Raw genomic sequence first — 21,746 nt, 5'->3', positions numbered from 1 at the left:
GTGGGGCTTGGATTTGTTTTTTTTCCTCTCTCTCTCTTAGTCAAAAAGATGGTAAATCTTTTTGGTAAATGGGGCCAAACAGTGGAGCCTAGAGGGAAGGAAAATAGAGAGTAGGACCAGAAAAAAATTTTAAGTGAAATGAGGGCTTTTATATCACAATGTAGGTGGAACCTGCCTTTAAATTATCTTTGAACTACCTCAAGCATGGGGACTGCTCTTATCTAGCCTTACGCAATACTTTCTAAATTTATTTTTTAAGTTACAGTTTCAATGATTATTACTACCACAAGTGAATTCTGAGTTTGAAGTGTATTTTATGAGTCAAATGTCTAACCTTTCACTCTAAGGGAAAAAAGACAAGAGTCGGGAATTTTAAATAGAAAATTTGAAATCAATGAGTATAAAATGGCTTATTTTCTCTATTTTTATTTTAACAGTTCGACTTTTCCTGTAGACTAAGGAACAGCTAATGGCTTATGTCATTCAACTGTCTTTTACAAAGTTAGCAAAAAGCTAACAGTTTTTTGAGGTTAAGAATAATAATAACATTAATAGTTACATTTTACTGAAAGCTTATGATGTTAAGCTCTTAAATGAGCTGGGTTAGTTTTCAGCTTATAAGGTAGATTCTAGTAATAACCATTTAGCCAAGAAAACCAAATCTCAAGGAAGTTAGGTAATTCTCCCAAGTTAGTAAGTGAAAAAGTCAAAATTATAACGCAGGCTGACTTTCTTAAAAGCACACTTCACCTCTCTCCTGCACAGACTCTAACACTAAGCCTATATTCTTCCTTTCTACTACCTCACCAAACCTGAAAATTTTCTTTTCATTCTTTAAACTTTATTTTAAATAGGAACCATCCCTTAGTAATTATAAAGATTCCAGGAAGTAAATTGGAAACTACTTTCTGACATTGCTGCTTTTCTATTACTAGCTTTGTTTACCTGTGCCTTGTAATCCTATTTCTTTCAATGTTGCACCTGAACAGAATATTTACCATCAGCAAATCCACAAATATTTACTCATATTGCCTGAAAATATTCATTTAGCAAATATAATGTTCTAGGCTCTGTTGAATAAGTTAATAAAGAGATGGTTTAGTATGAGAATATGAAGGGAATTATGCATTTGGCTAAACCATCCCCTTGAAGGCAATGGGAAGCATTTAGAATATTTAGTAGGATAATGGTATACTCTGATTTGACGATAGAAAAATCACAAGGCTGGATGTTTGGAGAAGAGCTTGGAAAAAAGTGTGTGAGACTGAATGCAGGGATATTTGTAAAGAGGATTTTGTTGTCCAATCTAGGCAAGAAATAATGAAGGTTGGATCTATCACAATATGAGAAATTGAGAAGTAGGGTAGATAGAAGTTCTCTATTGAAGAGAACCCAACTTGGAGAGAATCAGACTGAAGTTGTGTACTGACAGCAAGAAGGAAAAATACCTAATACACTTGAGAATAAAAAGTCCCTCCATACAGCTCAGGGTGTCAACAGAGACAGAAACACATCAACCCTGGAGTTTTCATGCATAGAAGGAAAGCTAGGCTGGGCAGGGTGGCTCACACCTGTAACCCCAGCACTTTGGGAGGCCGAGGTGGGCGAATCACTCGAGGTCAGGATTTCGAGACCAGCCTGGCCAAGATGGTAAAACCCCATCTCTGCCAAAAATACAAAAATTTGCGGGGCTTATCTTCATACACTCCTGGCCAAATGAGGAATGAGATCTGTTGCTCTGTAGAGCAGAGAAAACAAGGGAAGAAAAGTATGGAGCTAATTGTTTCTGACATAAAGGAAAATTTCCTGACACCTCCTCAGAAAGAAAGATGATCCAAAGCCCAAGAGTATAAGTGAGACGTCAGAGAGTGAGCCCTTATGTCCCTGTAATATAACACATGACCAACTACCACAAATAACTACAACCCTAGCTGAGCTACCCCTCTAACTCTTGCCACATTTAACATCACTTTTTGAGCTCTAGAGAGTTAATTTAAAGAAGTGGAGGTGAATTATTTAGTCTGCATAAAGTAAATTTGAAAGATTTTACTTTGCATCTAGCTAACATTATCAGATTGACTAAGTTCTCTTTTTTCATTTTCCAAGTAAAATACTTATAAAAACACAAAATATGAAATAATAGCAACACTAAAAACTAAAATTGACAGGAAGCTGATTGTTAGAAACTATTAAAAATGCCATGGATAAAATTTGCTAATTAAAATGAATAGTAACCTCATATTATCTAATGGGGGTTACTATATTTATTTACTATTTGATTTACTATTTTTTATATACTAGATAGTTTTATTCACTATCTCTGTCCTGATAGGCTGTATTATGAGAAGAACATATGAAATTATATTAGCAATGATGATAGGCAGAGGTATGATAAACAGAAGGGAAATAAAGTGTGGCCAAATAATGAGATTTACACCATGGGGACTCAAATGATAATATTTAAGTATTGAGTCTGACAATTAAAAACTAAAAAATATATAATTTAAATATAACACTAGTAAAATTTTAAAATAGGGCATTTACTATCACAAATACTGGAGAAACATATGACATATTTTTAAAAACTGAAAAGGAGAAGTATCAAATAATTATTAACAAAAGAATCAAAGAGAAATATAATGAACAGACATAGCAATTGCAATGGCTTAAATTCAACACAAAATCAGTTTGCCTAAAAAAATTAAACAAAATAGCACAGATAAGTTAAAAGAAAAGTGATGGGCCAAGACATTTAGGAAAAGACCAAGAAAAAATTCAGTTAAATAATTAAGTTATATAAGGAAAATCATTTTATGTTGAAAAACATTTCAATTCATAATAAAATGATGACTCTCACAAAACTTCTTTACTGAATAATGCTCTCACAATAGCAAATATGAAAATTAGAAAATGCTAAAGTTGACAGAAATGATAAAGTTGACAGAAAATGCTAAAGTTGACAGAAATAAAGTTGACAGTATTAGAAGTGCATAATAACCCCTCCTTCATATTTTAGCAAATTTGGTAGGCAAAAATTAGCATATAAAGGATATTAATTATACACTCACTTAATTTGTATCATATAGACAATACAGAGTATGTTATACAATATAGGTATCACTCCTTTAAAAATAAAATACAGGATTATAAATCATTTTACTATAAAGACACATGCACACGTATGTTTATTGTGGTACTATTCACAATAGCAAAGACTTGTAACCAACCCAAATGCCCATCAATGATAGACTGGAGAAAGAAAATTAGGCACATATACACCATGGAGTACTATGCAGCCATAAAAAAGGATGAGTTCACGTCCTTTGCAGGGAAATGGATGAAGCTGGAAACCATCATTCTCAGCAAACTAACACAAGAACAGAAAACCAAACACCACATGTTCTCACTTATAAATGGGAGTTGAACAATGAGAACAGATGGACACAGAGAGGGGAACATCACACACCAGGGCTTGTTGAGGGGGTGGGGGACTAGGGGAAGGATAGCATTAGGAGAATTACCTAATGTAGATAACGGGTTGATGGGTGCAGTAAAACACCATGGCACGTGTATACCTATGTAACAAAACAGTGCATACTGCACAGGTACTCCAGAATTTAAAGTATAATAATAATAATAAAATACATAATTGCAAAATCAATAAATTCGACTATATCAATTATCACAAAGAGAATTAGTAGGCAAATTAGACTATTTGGCATCAACAATACAGATAGATATGATTTTGTAAATAAATATTTATATAAATAATTTTTTTTCAATGTTAGCAACCCAATAGAAAAGTGAGCAAAGGACTGACTACCAACAGAAGTGATACAGATATATAACAAAAATATAAATAAATTTTAAGCTCATTATTCATCAAATATATGCAAATTAAAACAGCAATGAAATTAGAATGGCGATCATTAAAAAGTCAGGAAACAACAGGAGCTGGAAAGGATGTGGAGAAATAGGAACACTTTTACACTGTTGGTGGGACTGTAAACTAGTTCAACCATTGTGGAAGACAGTGTGGCGATTCCTCAGGGATCTAGAACTAGAAATACCATTTGACCCAGCCATCCCATTACTGGGTATATACCCAAAGGATTATAAATCATGCTGCTATAAAGACACATGAACACGTATGTTTATTGCAGCACTATTCCCAATAGCAAAGACTTGGAACCAACCCAAATGTCCAACAATGATAGACTGGATTAAGAAAATGTGGCATATATACACCATGGAATACTATGCAGCCATTAAAAATGATGAGCTCATGTCCTTTGTAGGGACATGGATGAAGCTGGAAACCATCATTCTCAGCAAATTATTGCAAGGACAAAAAACCAAACACCGCATGTTCTCACTCATAGGTGGGAATTGAACAATGAGAACACTTGGGCACAGGAAGGGGAACATCACACACCAGGGACTGTTGTGGGGTGAGGGGAGGGGGGAGGGATAGCATTAGGAGATATACCTAATGCTAAATGAGGAGTTAATGGGTGCAGCACACCAACATGGCACATGTATACATAAGTAACAAACCTGCATGTTGTGCACATGTACCCTAGAACTTGAAGTACAATAAAAATATGTATATTAAAAAAGCAAAAAAAAAAAACCAAAAACCAAAAAAAAGAAATTAGAGGACACCTAACAAATAAATTTTTTAATTATTAAACCAAGAGAGGATGTCATAGGCTGAGCAGTTTCATACACTGCTGGTAGAAAAGATTTCTGGCAAATAATTGAAAAACTATAGCCTTAACAATGTTCACATATTTTCTTTTTATTCAGTAGAGTATACGTTATAGAAATAATACAAAGTATGCAAAAGATTTCTCCATATAAATGTTCCTTGAAATATTAGCAATAAAAAGAAAAAAATCCAAACCCAAAAAATCCATAATCTTCTATTTTGGACTGTTGGAAGGTTTTTTTTTTTAATTTACCATTTAAAAAAAAATTTTAGAATGCATATACTGAACCCCTGAAGTTTTCAGGCAATACTTCATAATCAATCTTGTTAATATTTTGGTTGTGAAATATCTCACTCTAACTGGGATAAATTAACTAATAGCCTCAAATCAGTTCAGTTGAATCTTGCCACCAAATTAAATCATACCAGCTCAGGTGCCACCAAATGAGTTACAAAGATACTTTTCATAGCTATTTGGATTTTAAATTATATATACAGGATTGAGGAATTGTAATGATATAGTATTAAGTTATGAAGTATCCATATGATAGACTATGACTCAGCAGATAAAAATTACAGAATTGAAATATTTTACAGTACAGGGAAAGGCTCTTATATATATCTAGTGAGGATGTTAGTATTTGAAACTGTATAGAGAGTGTATTTCCAATTTTTAATAATATTTATGTGTATAGAAAAGGTCTAAATGACATACTATGAATGTTAGCAGTAGTTCTCTACAAATGTTAGGGTTACAGTTGATTGTTCAGTTTTATTTTTAAATCTTGTCTATATTTTCCAATTGTTTAATAATGAGCATATATTCTTTTTATCTCAGAAAAAAAATACTTGGGTTAAAAGAAACAAAAAAAAAATACACAGGTAGCTAAAGTGTAACCTAAAGTGGTTCTCATATATTTAAGATGCTATTGGATAAATCTAAGTAAATGCTCTTTAATTCACAAAGAAAGGGATGCATACATTTGGCAAAAAAAAACCCATAAAACGTAATTTATTGGCTATAAAGGTGATTAATAGCAATAACAGTTCACTTAGGAATGTTTTGGAATCACAATCCCTAAGAAAGTTTAAATAATTTACAACTCCTGCCTGTATGCTTTTATTTATCATAAGGATGTGTTTTATGTTCCAATTTCCTCCTTTAGAAGAATGTTGATAAATTGGTGATAGTGTGCTATATGGAGATTAAAGAAAACGGAGTAAGGAATGAGAAATTAATTAACTTCAAGATTCTTTCTATCCTTTTTTATTCATTTCATCCTGGAATATGGAGAAATGATAACACAAGAAAGTATTAACCTATACGTATGCTCACTAAAATTCATTATTCCAAATGTTATCCTGAATATATACTGGAGACTTTCTATGAACCTTCCTTGTCTCTTAGTATTTTAGTTCTCAGTCAAAAGTCTTGATGAATAGATTCTGTAATTTTTTTATTTAACACATACCCGCCAAAGCTTTTTACTTTAACATTACCATGAGTGGCTCAGTCTCTTCGTTCCCTAAAAAGACTGGAATTAAAATAACTCTTAAGACTCTTAAGACTATCCCTATATTAAGTTTGCACTAAGCCCCCAGGTTAGGACAGACTGACCTCCTCCTGGCTATTACAAACAAGTTTTAACTGCAAAATAGATTGATGCATCTCTTTGTTTTGTTTTGTCTTTAGATTGATTCATGTAGGCTTATCACAAATTGTTATAATTAAGCCTCTGGTGGTATTTTTGAAAGCAGAAAGAAAGTCTGTGAAGGGCATAGGATCATTTTAAATGTACCTGAAGTCTTTAGCAATAAGAGAGGATACACTTTAGCAGAAGGATGAAGCATGTTGTTATTGCAGACTTCTTGGATAATAGAAAGCCTCAGAATTTAAGGTTGTAGTTTCTAGAAATATAAATAGTAACCAAAAACCAAGGACACATCCTAGCCATGCCAGGGGACTTGCTGAGCTTAACAGTGGTATGCTGGCACCAACTTGCACTGGCTCAGGAAAGCCATTGTGTTCATCTCTTCCTACCTCCACATTGAGTGATGTCATGTTGGTAGTTTGAAACTGGCCATGTTGGGAGTGGTTAAACCACAGATATCATCAAACACTACAAAGTAAGGTTTGTTTGTCTTTTCCTGAGAGGTGATTGTTAAACATTTGCTAACACACAGTTAATGAGGGGGTATAGTTTTGAGAATTTTAATAACATAATCAGTGGTAGGTATGATTGTGCACTATAGCTGTACTACTTCAAGCAACATAATTAACACTGGGTAGAAATAAGTGATAAAGCCAGAGACATAAGAAATGTGGATAGCTTGTCACCTTTTAATAATGAGAAGCAATAAGACCTCTGGAGTACTGAAGAACACAATCCTGACTGAAGACTTTAATCCAACAACTTGAGAGAGTTCTATGACCTATGGTTGTCTGGATGGCAACAGTATTATGCAGATTCACACCAATTAACCAATCTTACCTTGAGAGTAGTGGGCCACAAACTAAGACATAGAGGCAAAATCCAGGCACTGCTTAAACCTTTTGAAATAAAGCTTTATTGCAAAACATTAATGCTCATTTATGCATTGCCTGTAAAAAGACTACACAGTCTACAAGGCTGAAAAAATTTACCATCTAGCGTTTTACAAAAAAAAACAAAAATTGCTGATGCCTGCTTAAGAGGATCAATACCTTTATCCCAATAGAATTAAGGCTCTCATGGAATGTGTCAAGAGGGCTTTGCCCTCAACACCAAGTTCCAAGAATAGAAGCATGATGTATGATGGAATGAAGATTAAAAGTAAACTCAGGAGTTTGGAATCTTGGTCAAAGTCCACAAATTTAAATCAAATAAAAATAAATGTAAAAGACTTGAGCTTAAGTTTTTTTAATGAATAAAAATATATGTTTATTTCATTTTGAAAGAAAAAATTTGGGAAAGTTAGGTGTCTACAGATTATATATGAGAAAAACTTGGCCACTAAATAAAGCCAACACCATCTAAAACAATATCAGTTGAAGTTTAGTAGGTTAAACAAAGTGTCATTCAAAAGTTATTTTCAGAATACTACTTAAGAAATACATACAAACTTAAATATTTAGAAAGAACCCTAAAAAAACCACTTACCAAAATGTTTAAAGTGGTTCTATCTGGGTTTAGAGATTATAAATTCTTTTCTGTTTTCTTCTTTCTATATTTTCTTCATTTCACACTTTTTTAAACAATGTGTTTGTTATTGTGTTTTTAGTACTTTTATAATTTTCTAAGTAATAGAGTTTGAATGTTTGTTCCCTCCAAACCTCATGTTGAAATATAATCTCCAACGTTGGAGGTGTGACCTGGTGCAAGATGTTTTTTTCACAGGGGTAGATCCCTCATAAATGGTTTTACGCCATCCCTTTTACAAAGTGGTGATGAGTGAGCTCTTGCTCTTATAGTTCAAAAGAGGTGTGGTTGTTTAAAAGAGCATGGCATCTCCCCATCTGTATCTTGCTTCCACTCTCACCATGTGACATGCTGGCTTCCCATCAACTTAGGCCATGATAGTAAGCTTCCTGAGGCCCTCACCAGAAGCCAAGCAGATGTTGGCACCATGTTTCTCATTCAGACTGCAGAACTGTGTGCTAATTAAGCCTGTTTTCTTTATAAATGACCCAGTTGTAACTATTCCCTTATAGAGACACAAGAATGGACTAATACAGAAACTTAGTGCCAGAAGTGGGGCATTGCTATAAAGATACCAGAAAATGTGGAAGCAGCTTTGGAGCTGAGCAATGGGCAGAGGTTGGAAGAGTTTGGAGGGCATTGAAGAAGAAAAGAAGATGAGGAAAAGTTTGGAATATTTTAGAGAATGATTAAATCATTGTAACCAAAATTCTGATAGAAATATGGACAGCGACCAGGCATGGTGGTTCATGCCTGTAATCCCAGCACTTTGGGAGGCTGAGGTAGGCAGATCACCTGAGGTCAGGAGTTTTTTGAGAAATATGGACAGTGAAGGCCAGGCTAAGGAGGTCTCAGATGGAAAAGAGAAATTTATTAGGAACTTGAGCAAAGGTCACACTTGTTATGCATTAGCAAAGATCTTGGTTGCCTTGTGTCCAGAGTCTAGGGATCTGTGGCAGTTTGAACTTAACAGTGATGACAGAGTAACTGGCAGAAGAAATTTTTAAGCAGCAAAATGTTCAAGAGTTAGTCTGGCTGCTTCTAACAGCCTGCAATCAGATATGGGAACAAATAAATGACTTAAAGTTGAACCTTATATTTAAAAGGGAAGCAGAGTGTAAAACTCTGGAAAATTTGCAAGCTAGCCATGTGGCAGAGAAAAAAAAGCATTTTCAGGAGAGGAATACAAGCAGGCTGTGGAGGAACCACTTGCTAGAGATATTAGTATGACTAAAAGGGAGCCAAGTGCTCATATCTAAGACCAATGGGAAAAAGACTTCAAAGGCATTGCAGAAGTCTTCAAGGCAGCCCCTCACATCACAGGTTTATAGGCCTAGGAGGAAAGAATGGTTTGGGGGGCCAGATCCAGGGCCCCATTGCCCTTCTCAGTCTCAGAACACTGCTCCCCACATCCCAGCAGCTCTAGCTCAACAGGACCCAGGTACAGCTTGAGCCACAGCTTTGAAGGTCACAAGCCACAAGATTTACTAGCTTCCATATAGTGTTAAGTGGCAGGCACACAGAATGCAGGCATGAAGGAGGCTTGACAGCTTTCTCCTAGATTTCACAGGATGCGAATCCTGTTAACAGGGCTGTATCCCTCACTGAGAATTTCTACTAGGGCCGTGTGAAGAGGAAATGTGGAGCTGGAGCCCCCACACAGACATGGCCTACTGGAGCTGTGGAAAGGAGGCCACTGCCCTTTAGACTCCAGAATGTTAGTCATGGGCAGCTTGCATCCTGAGCCTGGAAAACCTGCAGGTACACACCTCCAATTCATGACAGCATCCACAGGGGCTTCACCCTGCAAAGCCACAGAAGCAGAGCTGCCCAAGGCCTTGGGAACCCACACCTTGCACCAGTGTGCTCTGGATGCAGGACATGGGATCAAAGGAGATTATTTTGGAGCTTTAAGATTTAACGCCTGCCCTGCTGGGTTCCAGACTTGCATGGGGCCTATTACCCCTTTCTTTTTGGCCAATTTCTCCCTTTTGGAATGGAAATGTTTACCCAATGCCTATAATACCATCTTATCTTGGAAGAAAGTGATTTCTTTGATTTGTATTTGATTTTATAGGTTCATCAGTGGAAGGAACTTGGCCTTGAGTCTCAGATGAAACTTTGGATTTGAACTTTGGAACTTTTAAGTTAAGTCTGGAACAAGTTAAGACTTTGGGAAACTATTGCAAAGGCATGATTCTATTTTGAAATGTGAGCAGGTCATGAGATTTGGTGGGTCAGGGGATGAATGATATAGTTTGGACATTTTTCCCCTCCAAATCTCAAGTTGAAAAGTAATCCCCAAAGTTGGACGTGGGGCCTGGTGGGAGATGTTTGGATCATAGAAACAAATCCTTCATGAATGGCTTAGCACTGTCCCCTGGTGATGAGTGAGTTCTCATTCTGGTAGTTCATGTGAGATCTGGTTATTTCAAAGAGCATGGAACCTCTCCCCTCTCTCTTTCTTGCTCCCACTCTCACCATGTGACATGCTGTGTCTTTGTCTCCTTCCACCACGATTGTAAGCTTCTTGAGGCCTCACTAGAAGCCAAGCAGATGCTGGCACCATGCTTCTCATACAGCCTACAGAACCATGAGCCATTTAAATCTCCTTTCTTTATAAATTACCCAGATTCAGGTATTCTTTTATAACAATGCAAAAACAGCCTAACACACTAAGTTTAATTGTAGTGTCCAGATCAAAAAAGTTTATAAAATGTGAATGTAGGTAACACTACTAAACTATATACTTAACAATGGTTAAGATGTTAAATTTTATGTTATGAATATTTTGCCACAAGTTTTTAAAAGCTAATAATAATAAAAGTAGTTTAGTATAGTGAGGTACCAGCTTATTACTTACTATTGAATTGTTCTGTACAATTTTTAGCCCTTCAGAGCCTTATTTTCTCCTCTGTAAGATAAGATTAGTAATAGAACTATATACCATATATACTCTAATATAGTTAACCAGTCTCTCATTAATACACACAATATTCTTTCTATTGAGCAAACTTACTTTAGATCTCTTGCTTCAGTAGAACAAAGCAACAATGGAGTCTAATAAATTCTGGCTTCTACTGTAGATTAGAGAGATCTCATTCTAACAACATATGCTGGGCAAATTCTTAAATCAGAGAGCTGAGCTCATACATCAATTAATTAGTCTTAACTCTATAGAAAGACAATTCCAGCAGGAAGAGATGAGATGTAAGCACTTGCTTCCCTGGGGCAGACAAAGCCAGATGTCAGTAAGAATAATTCAGCTAGAATTGTTAATAAATTAATAGAAGCTAAGTGTGGGCTAGTGAGAGACCATAGAGTCCTAGGGATTGCAGATGAAAGTAAAGTTCTCACCTTTTCTCCATAGACCCCACTAGCACTCATGAAAAAGCCTGGCAAGAGTCCTAAGAATCAACTCTTATGGCACTGGCCTGAAGGTAGGAACTGCAGCTACTGCAGAATGGCACTGGGACCATAGCAGAAACACACTTCAAACTCAGCCTGCCTCCTAAATAGATTAACTCAATCCCTGACACTAAAGGCCTAACAGAAAAAAAGGATACACCCACTTCCAGAAATAAAAACCATTATTTCCTACGTAACATGACTAGTATTTAACAAAAAATGATGAGGAATACAAAAAGTAAGGAAAATAAAACACACATGCATACACACACTACCAAGCAAAAAAGCAATCACCAGAACCAGATTCAGATATGATGCAGATGTTGAAACTAAATGACAGGAAATTTAAAATAAATTTGATTAATATGTTTTAAAGTTCTAAGAGAGAAGGTGAACAACATGCAGGATCAGGCAGGTAATTTCAGCAGAAGGATGGAAAAAAAAAGAATGGATCAAATGGAAATGTTAGAAACAAATAGCACAATAACAGTGACAAAGCATGCCTTCAACTGAGTCATTAGTAGACTTACAAGAATCTAGCAAAAGAATTAGTAAACTTAAAAATAGATTGACAGATATTACTCAGACTGAAACACAAAGAGAAAAACATACCTGGGAAAAAAACATCCAAAAAAACCCAAACAAATAAACAAACAAAAAACAAGAAGAGAGCATCCAAGAGCTGTGGAACAATATCAAACCATCTAACATACATGTAATTGAAATTCTAGAAACAGAAATAGAGAAAAAGGCAACAGAAATACTTGAAGGAAAAAGGCCAAGAATTCTCCAAAATTGATGACAGACACCAAACCACAGTTTCAAGAAGCTCAGAGAACACCAGGAAAGATAATTACACAAACGTACACACCCCAGACCAAGGATACCATCTTAAAACTGCTGAAAGCAAAAGACAAAGAAGAAGTGTTGAGACAACAAAAGAAAAAGGAGGATACATACATACGGAGAAAGAAAGATAACAATTAGAGAGATGATGCAAGCCAGAAGACACTAGTCTAGCTTTACAGTGCTGAAAAACAAAAATTCTCAACCCAGAATTCTATCCCTAGTAATAATATCTTTCAAATAGAAAAATAAAGACTTTCTAAAATAAACAAAAACTAGGAGAATTCATTGCCAGCAGGTTTATATACTATATAAATGTTAAAGAAAATTTTTCAGGCAGAAGTTTAATGGGTCTAAAAGATAATCAGCTATTTAAAGCAAAAATATTAGCTTTAACCCATTATCAACCCATTATGTATTAATAGCTTATGTAAAAGTAAAAAGAATGACAATAGCAACAAAAGATTGAATGTGTAAAAAGTAATGGGATTGCTGGATCAAATGATAGTCCTGTTTTAAGTTCCTTGAGAAATTGCCAAACTGCAGATGCTGTCTCACCCAGGCTGGAGTGCAGCGGCATGAACACAACTCACTGCAGCCTCAACCTCATGGGTTCAAGCAATCTTCCCCACTCAGCCTCCTGAGTAGCTGGGACCTCAGACATGCACCATGAAATCTGGCTAGTTTTTTTTATTATTTTTTGTAGAAACAGGATCTCACCATGTTGCCCAGACTGGTCTCAAACCCCTGGGCTCAAGCAATCCTCTCGCCTCACCATTCCAAAGTATTGGGATTATAGGCATGAGCCTATTTTAATAATAGCCATTCTGATTGTTGTGAGATAATATCTCATTGTGGTTTTGATTTGCATTTCTGTAATGATTAGTAAGGAGGAACATTTTAAATATGCGCGTTGGGTGCTTGTATGTTGTCTTTTGAGAAGTGTCTGTTCATGTCCTTTGCCCATTTTTCAATGAGTTTGGTTTGGTTTTTGCTTATTGTTTAAGTTCCTAATAAATATGAGATATTAGATCTTTGTCAGATGTATACTTCAAAAATATTTTTTCCCACTTTGTAGGTTGTCTGTTTACTTTGCTGATAGTTTCTTTTGCTGTGCAGTAACTCTTTAGTTTAATTAAGTCCCACTTGTCAACTTTTGGTTTTGTTGATACTGCTTTTGGAGTCTTCATCATGAAATCTTTGCCAAGGCATATGACCAGAATGAGATTTCCTAGGTTTTCTTCTTGGGGTTTTTATAGTTTTGGGTCTTACATTTAAGTCTTTAATGCATTTTGAGTTGATTTTTGTATATGGTGAAAGAAAGGGGTCCAGTTTCATCTTCTATTTATGGCTAGCCAGTTATCCAGCACTATTTATTGAATAAGGAGTCCTTTTCCCATTGCTTGTTGTCAGTTTTGTTGAGGATCAGATGGTTGTATGTGTGTGGCTTTATTTCTGGGTTTTCTAGCTCGTTCCATTGGTTTTATGTGTCTATTTTCTTACCAGTACCATACTGTTTTGGTTACTGTAGTCTTGTAGTATAGTTTGAAGTTGGGTAATGTGATGCCTCTGGCTTTGTTCTTTCTGCTTAGGATTGCTTTGGCTATTCAGGCTTATTTTTTTGGTTCCATATGAATTTTAGAATAGGTTTTTCTTTAATTCTGTGAAAAATGTCATTGGTGGTTTGATAAGAATAACATTGAACTTGTACATTGCTTTGGACAGTATGGTCATTTTAACAATATTGATTTTCCATTTGTTTGTATTATCTCTTGTTTCTTTCAGCAGTGTTTCTTAATTTGCATTGTGGAAATCTTTCACCTCCCTTGTTAGCTATATTCCTAGGTACTTTATCTATTTTGTGGCTACTGTGAATAGCATTATGTTCTTGATTTGGCTCTCAGTTTGGACACTACTGGTGTATAGCAACGCTACTAATTTTTATACATTGATTTTTATACCCTGAAACATTACTGATGTTATTTGTCAGTTCTAAGAGCCTTTGGGCAGAGACTATGGGATGGGGTTTTTTAGGTATAGAATTATATATCTTCTGTAAAGGGAAATAATTTTACCTCCTCTCTTCCTATTTGGATGCCTTTCATTTCTTTCTCTTGACTGATTGCTCTGGCTAGGACTTTCATACTATGTTGAATAGAGGTGATGAGAGTGGGCATCCTTGTCTTGTATATGTTCTCAAGGGGAATGCTTCCAGATTTTGCCTGTTTAGTATGATGTTAGCTGTGGGTTTGTCATAAATGGCTCTTATCACTTTGGGGTATAGAACTGAGAAATTATGATCTAGGCTTTGAAAAGAGAGTAGAAAGAAGATGTGCATGTTTTTGAAAATACATATTTATAAAATGAAATAAGTAAGAGTGTAAAGAACCTAATCACAATTATTGACAGCCATCTGCACATAAATTCTTTGTAATTTATTTTAATCAATCTATTTCTTCCTTTAATAAACTAAACATAATGTAACAGAGAAGAAAATGATAGAACCAAAACTATAAAATGCTAGAATAGAGAAAGAAACATTTTACCTATTTTAAGATTCATACTAAAATGCACATAATCAGGAAAGAAGATGAGGACACTAGATGATTTATGACCCTATGGAGTGGTCTTTATAATAACAATCAAGGCAATCATTATTTCCAGGAAGATTATCTAGCATATGAAATGCTAGTCATGCATAGAATTATTATTAGGCCAAAAATATTTTTCTTTCATATCTTAATTCTTAGCAGGAAATACACTCCATTAAAAAGTAATCAGTTGACAAAAAGTAATCTGTTAAATTGGTTAACTTTTTATTATCTTGTTTGTACTTTTAAAAAGTATAGTTACAGAAGCAGCACATATGCACTATAGGAAATTTTTGAATTTAATTAAATCAATTTAATTACCATCAGTGTCCACCAATGCTCATCACCTTAATGTTTACCTTTCCAGGTCTTTATACACACACACACACATACACACACACACACACACACACACACACCTCTCTCTAGTTTTACATCAATATAAAATTTTATTGTACATACCATTCCTCAATCTGGTTTTGTTTTTTTAGTAACTTTCTCTTTCAGTACATTTTATCTCATCTACTGCTGAGACTATGTTCAAAATTCCCCCAGTTGACCCAAAAAATATTACATACAGTTTATTTGTCCATTCAAATATCAAATGTAGGATCCAATCTTGCATTTGGTTTTATATTTGTTAAATTTCTTATAATTGATTACAATCTCTTTTTCATAATACTAACTTTTTAAAAATCCCAAGCCAATTACATTCTGTAGAATATTCCTGAATTTGTCTGGTTGCTTTGCCATACTATTATTGAACTTGTTAGCCCATATCCTATATTTCCTGTCTATAGTCTATATTCTGTATTGTATATTATGTTAGAAGCTTAATAAATTTAAATTATTTTTGCCAATAACAATTAAAGTGATGGTGTATACTTCATGTAGCATCATACCCAATGTCACATAATATCTGGTTAACCATCATTGGTGGCACTATGACTGATAAATTCTTACACTAAGTTATTTTGTTTTTCCCATCCACTATACAGATAAGCTTTTTTCCTTGTGGTTAAAAACTAATCTATTAGGGTTTTTTTTTTTAACAATTAACCAATGACCAGTTTATCATCAATCATTTACTTAATGGTTTTGACACCAATTAATATTTCCTCTTAATCTAATAATATCATTTGGGCCTGTAAAATTACATTTTCTATAATTTCTTGCATATTTTATAACTGGTTTTCTTCTGTTATACAGAACTTTTTCTCAAATATTAGGAAAATTGGTTAACAGGTGAAGATATAATAAATGGAATTCTCATACACCCCTGATGGGAATATTTGTACCACCTCTTTGGAAAACAATCTGCCATTATCTAGCCAAGGTAAAGATATATACAATCTATGACCCAGCATTTCCATTTTAGGTTTAGCATTTTTCAATTTCAGGATACTCCACTTAAAATCAGATATCTACTGCTGTAAATTAGGCATCTATAAGTGCTAATTGAGAACCAAATTCTCAATATTTTAAATGAGAAAAATGATAATGTTTTATATATCAACTCAAAACTTCAACCAATTTTCTAAAACAGAACTAATTCACAGTAAAATGCCTATATATAACAACCAATCATGTTTGGATGTAAAAAGATTTAAATGTTCATTAAATGGTTGCTTTGTATACAGTAACCACAGTACTATGGCCTTTATTGATTCTCAGCTATACCTTTCACAGCATTTACACTTAATTCTATTTAAAATAGAACTCAAGATTTCACTCTTATCCCCACCTTTTTTTCACAACACACACACATTGTTTTGTTTAAAATGTAGTATTGAGCTTTGGGGGCATGACTGCACATTTTTGTGTGTGTGTAAGACATCAGCAAGTAATATATTGCAAAGACACCTACATTCTGAAGTTTGGATTTTAAAATCCAAGAGGTGCTTCACCAGGAAAATGTTAAGGTGTGCAACTCACCATTTATCCTAAATACATCCACACACATGCATTTGTAGCAGCATTGTTTACAGTAATCAAAAACTGTCAACATCCTCAATGTTCACTTATAGTAGCATGCATGAATTATGAAATATTCATATAATGGGAGAGTATATTAAAAAGAAAATGATATAGCCAAATATTATAGTATGGATTACCTCCAGAAACATGAACCAATACATTCCTGTTCATTTTAAATTATCTAGTCTGAGATGTTCTATCAGCACAAAATTGATTAAGACATAGGGATACCTCCAGGGTGGAGGGATAGAACTGTAATTGGGGAGAACGGCATGAATAGACTGGATATGTGTTTTGGAATGCTGCCAGTTTTACTTTTTGACTTAGGTTACACAAGTGTTTGTTTTATAAGCACTCATTAAACTACAATATATTTTCATGAACTCTTCTGGAAATGTATATGTTTCAGAGTAAGAAAAGGAAAAAGTGAGTGGAAAAGGTAAGCTTAGGTATTAATAAAGGAGATAGGATTACAGGATGCTGCTAAGGGGCACCAACCCTTGGCTGCTCTATCTGACCGTATGTCAACAAATGTGTGACAACTGTAGAGTATAAAAAGAAGGTTACCCAAAATAAGACAGGGACAAAACCATTTGCAAAAGAGCTTGCACTTAGAAAAACAATACATTTGTTGGATTGGAACTTTATAGATAAGAAAACCTTCAATATAAATAACACGCTTTAAAAATATCTAGAAGATAAAAACTGAAAATTTCCATGGGAACAGAATGGGCATTCATAAAATCATAAGATGTAAGAATACCATGAACTGAGGGTTTGTGCAACAAATCCTGCAATTTTCAAAACATGAGGATGTCAATGAAATTCAAAAGAAATCATTTTCAACAATTAAAAAAATTTACATAGAGGGTAATAACTTTGCAGTAATTTATTATTATTACGTATTCTTAAATTTCGGTATGTAACAGAAAAAAAAATCGAATACTTAGGTACCAAGTCAGAATATTTAAAAAAAGGTGTTTAATCATTTCATAACTAGTTGAAATTTAGTTTAAAATGAATGTTTTTCAGAACTTTAACCAGGCTGGGACACAAAGGCAAAAAAGTTGAAAAGCATTTGCCCAGCTACTTCTGATTCCCAACGTGTTGCCCCCTGCTGGGAGACTGTGTCACAGCTAATCCCATTAATACTACTTTTCTGCGGAACTTAATTTTTGTAAAAAATTCCACCTTCATTTCCATAAATGAAACGTACCTATCTTCCTTCAACAAAACTTTATTTAAAATCACTGTCAGCCGAGCGCGGGCACCGGCGCGGGCTATGGCTGCGACTTCCCTCATGTCAGCGTTGGTCGCCGGCTGATCCAGCCCGCTCAGAGCTGCCGCCTCTGTCCTCGCCCTTTCCACCTCGCGGCAGTTCCTTTGAACTCCCTCGGACGAGCTCTTACTGGTTCCGATAACTCTCACTGCTCTTATGAGCTAAGCTTTTGCACCAACTGAACAGCTGGCCAACCTAAAAATTGTTGCCTTTGCAGTCAGATACTCACTCTTGGTCTGTCAGCTTTGGATGAAGCAGTGGGGTTCTTGGGAAGAACCCATTGCCAACTAAATGAAGCTGTTGTCAGGAAACTGGCCCAGTGGATCAAGCAGGAAGTGCGGCAGGAGGTGGAGGAGCAGGTGGCCTCTGGCAACAAAGGGCCATGCCTGAGCGTGGCTCTGGTCAGCAAAACTCCTGCAAGTCTCTGCCATATCCTCAACAAAACCAGGGCAGCTGCAGATGTGGGAATCAACAGTGAGATAATTGTGAAACCAGCTTCAATTTCAGAGGAAGAATTGTTGAATTTAATCAATAAATTGAATAATGATGGTAATGTAGATGGCCTCCTTCTCCACCTGCCTCTTCCAGAGCACATTGATGAGAGAAAGATCTGCAATTCTGTTTTTCCAGATAAGGATGTTGATGGCTTTCATGTAATTAATGTAGGGTGAATGTATCTGGACCAGTATTCCGTATACCAGCTACTCCATGCAGTGTGTGGGAAATAATTAAGCAAACTGGCATTCCAACCCTAGGGAAGAATGTGGTTGTGGCTGGAAGGTCAAAAAATGTTGTAATGCCTATTGCAATGTCACTGCACACAGATGGGGTGCATGAACGTCACGGAGGTGATGCCACTGTTATAATATCTCATTGATATACCCCCAAAGAGCAGTTGAGGAAACATACAATTCTTGCAGATATTGTAATATCTGTTGCAGGTGTTCCAAATCTGATCACAGCAAATATGACCAAGGGAGAAGCAATAGCATTGATGTGGGAATAGATACAGTTCAAGATCCTGTAACTGCTAAACCTAAGTTGGTTGGAAATGTGGATTTTAAAGGAGTTAGGCAAAAAGCCAGTTATATCACTCCAGTTTCTGGAGGTGTTGGCCCTATGACAGTGGCAATGCTAATGAAGAATACCATAATTGCCACAAAAAAAAAGTGCTGAGGCTTGAAGAACGGAAAGTGCTGAAGTCTAAAGAGCTTGGAGTAGCCACTAACTAACTCTTGTGTCTTCTATATCACCAAAAGCACTTCAAGCCAGCTCAAGAAACAAAGCAAGCCGAGAGAAACGTGATTTTTTTTTATTTTTTCCACTGAAATGGTTTAAAATGATGCTTTGCATTTATTGAAAGCTTTCATGGGTGTGTGTGACATAGCTCTGCAGTACCTCACTAGGAAGCATTACAGTATCATGCAGGGTCAAGGGATCTACCCAAGAGCAGCCATTAACCTTGTGACTAACATGGGAGACATTGTCATATTGAGAATGAATGCTTAACTTTGTCAAGCCACCTCTGTTAAAAATTTGCCTTTTCTAGGATTGCACTTCTCTAGTGCTATTCCTATAAGCATCGATAATCATTTTAGGTACCAAACCTTTTGAGTTCAACTCATCAAACCAGAGGAAAAATTAGGGAAAAGAGGAAAAAGAAAAAAATGGTAGTAACTGAGTAGAAAGAAAAAAATAATCTATATACGTATCGATTGGTAACCAGGTCTGTCTAAGTAGAACTGAACCGGCTAGGAAAAAAATAAAAACTACATGTTAATCATTTTCCTAAGTTGTCTTTTTGAGGTTTAGTCAGTCATTGGGAAAGTGTTAAGGATTGTTCCTTGCTTTTAGTCCTCATTTTATGTATGTTACCCCTTAGTAAGATCTCCCCACTTTAGTTTTCTAGGATTTAAAGGTTTATTTTATAAATTATTCATGTGTATTGTCATACTTGGCTTTTGCTATACAGTTTAACTTCATTGTTAAAGTTTTGTGTTGTTAGGGAATATCTGTATAGTTTCTTTGGTGTATCTTTTTTTTAATTATAAGTAGGATTATTTTTATTTTTTATTATACTTTAAGTTTTAGGGTACGTGTGCACAACGTGCAGGTTAGTTACATATGTATATATGTGCCATGTTGGTGTGCTGCACCCAGTAACTCATCATTTAACATTAGGTATATCTCCAAATGCTATCCTCCCCCTTGCCCCCACCCCACAACAGGCCCTGGTGTGTGATGTTCCCCTTCCTGTGTCCATGTGTTCTCATTGTTCAATTCCCACCTATGAGCGAGAATATGCAGTGTTTGGTTTTTTGTCCTTGTGATAGTTTGCTGAGAGTGATGGTTTCCAGCTTCATCCATGTCCCTACAAAGGACACGAACTCATCATTTTTAATGGCTGCATAGTATTCCATGGTGTATGTCCCACATTTTCTTAATCCAGACTATCATGGTTGGACATTTGGGTTGGTTCCAAGTCTTTGCTATTGTGAATAGTGCCACAATAAACATACGTGTTCATGTGTCTTTATAGCAGCACGATTTATAATCCTTTGGGTGTATACCCAGTAATGGTATTTCTAATTCTAGATCCCTGAGGAATCGCCACACTGACTTCCACAATGGTTGAACTAGTTTACAGTCCCACCAACAGTGTAAAATTGCTCCTATTTCTCCACATCCTCTCCAGTATCTGTTGTTTACTGACTTTTTAATGATCGCCATTCTAACTGGTGTGAGATGGTATCTCATTGTGGTTTTGATTTGCATTTCTCTGATGTCCAGTGATGATGAGCATTTTTTCATGAAATAAAAGAGGATACAAACAAATGGAAGAACATTCCATGCTCATGGGTAGGAAGAATCAATATAGTTAAAGTGGCCATACTGCCCGAGGTAATTTATAGATTCAATGCCATCCCCATCAAGCTACCAATGACTTTCTTCACAGAATTGGAAAAAAATACTTTAAAGTTCATATGGAACCAAAAAAGAGCCCATATTGCCAAGTCAATCCTAAGCCAAAAGAACAAAGCTGGAGGCATCATGCTACCTGACTTCAAACTATACTGCAAGGCTACAGTAACAAAAACAGCATGGTACTGGTACCAAAACAGAGATATAGATCAATGGAACAGAACAGAGCCCTCAGAAATAATGCTGCATGTCTACAACCATCTGATCTTTGACAAACCTGAGAAAAACAAGAAATGGGGAAAGGATTCCCTATTTCATAAATGGTGCTGGGAAAACTGGCTAGCCATATGTAGAAAGCTGAAACTGGATCCCTTCCTTACACCTTATACAAAAATTAATTCAAGATGGATAAAAAACTTAAATGTTAGACCTAAAACCATAAAAACCCTAGAAGAAAACCTAGGCAATACCATTCAGGACATAGGCATGGGCAAGGACTTCATGTCTAAAACACCAAAAGCAATGGCAACAAAAGCCAAAATTGACAAATGGGATCTAGTTAAACTAAAGAGCTTCTGCACAGCAAAAGAAACTACCATCAGAGTGCACAGGCAACCTACAGAATGGGAGAAAATTTTTGCAATCTACTCATCTGACAAAGGGCTAATATCCAGAACCTACAATGAACTCCAACAAATTTACAAGAAAAAAACAAACAACCCCATCAACAAGTGGGCGAAGGATATGAACAGACACTTCTCAAAAGAAGACATTTATGCAGCCAAAAGACCCATGAAAAAATGCTCATCATCTTTGATGTATCTTAAAATCTA

At 35.6% G+C, this 21,746-nt stretch overlaps 1 protein-coding gene and 1 pseudogene across 1 annotated transcript in view, besides 1 other annotated feature; one reads left to right on the top strand and one right to left on the bottom strand.

Moving 5' to 3' along the window:
• FBXO4 (F-box protein 4) overlaps positions 1-21,746 on the bottom strand; it is a 115,124-nt gene that overhangs the window by 54,045 nt on the left and 39,333 nt on the right. The window lies entirely within an intron of this gene.
• Positions 12,087-12,287: a silencer, noted in NCBI's record as "peak5238 fragment used in MPRA reporter construct". NCBI's record gives its function as "represses an SCP1 promoter by STARR-seq MPRAs in K562 erythroleukemia cells {active_cell/tissue: K562}" and the evidence as "EXISTENCE:reporter gene assay evidence [ECO:0000049][PMID:32103011]".
• MTHFD2P6 (methylenetetrahydrofolate dehydrogenase (NADP+ dependent) 2, methenyltetrahydrofolate cyclohydrolase pseudogene 6) lies at positions 18,281-19,420 on the top strand (annotated as a pseudogene).

This window comes from Homo sapiens, chromosome 5, assembly GCF_000001405.40.
Source record: "Homo sapiens chromosome 5, GRCh38.p14 Primary Assembly".
Lineage (NCBI taxonomy): Eukaryota > Metazoa > Chordata > Mammalia > Primates > Hominidae > Homo > Homo sapiens.
This window is presented reverse-complemented; position numbering and strand designations above follow the sequence as displayed.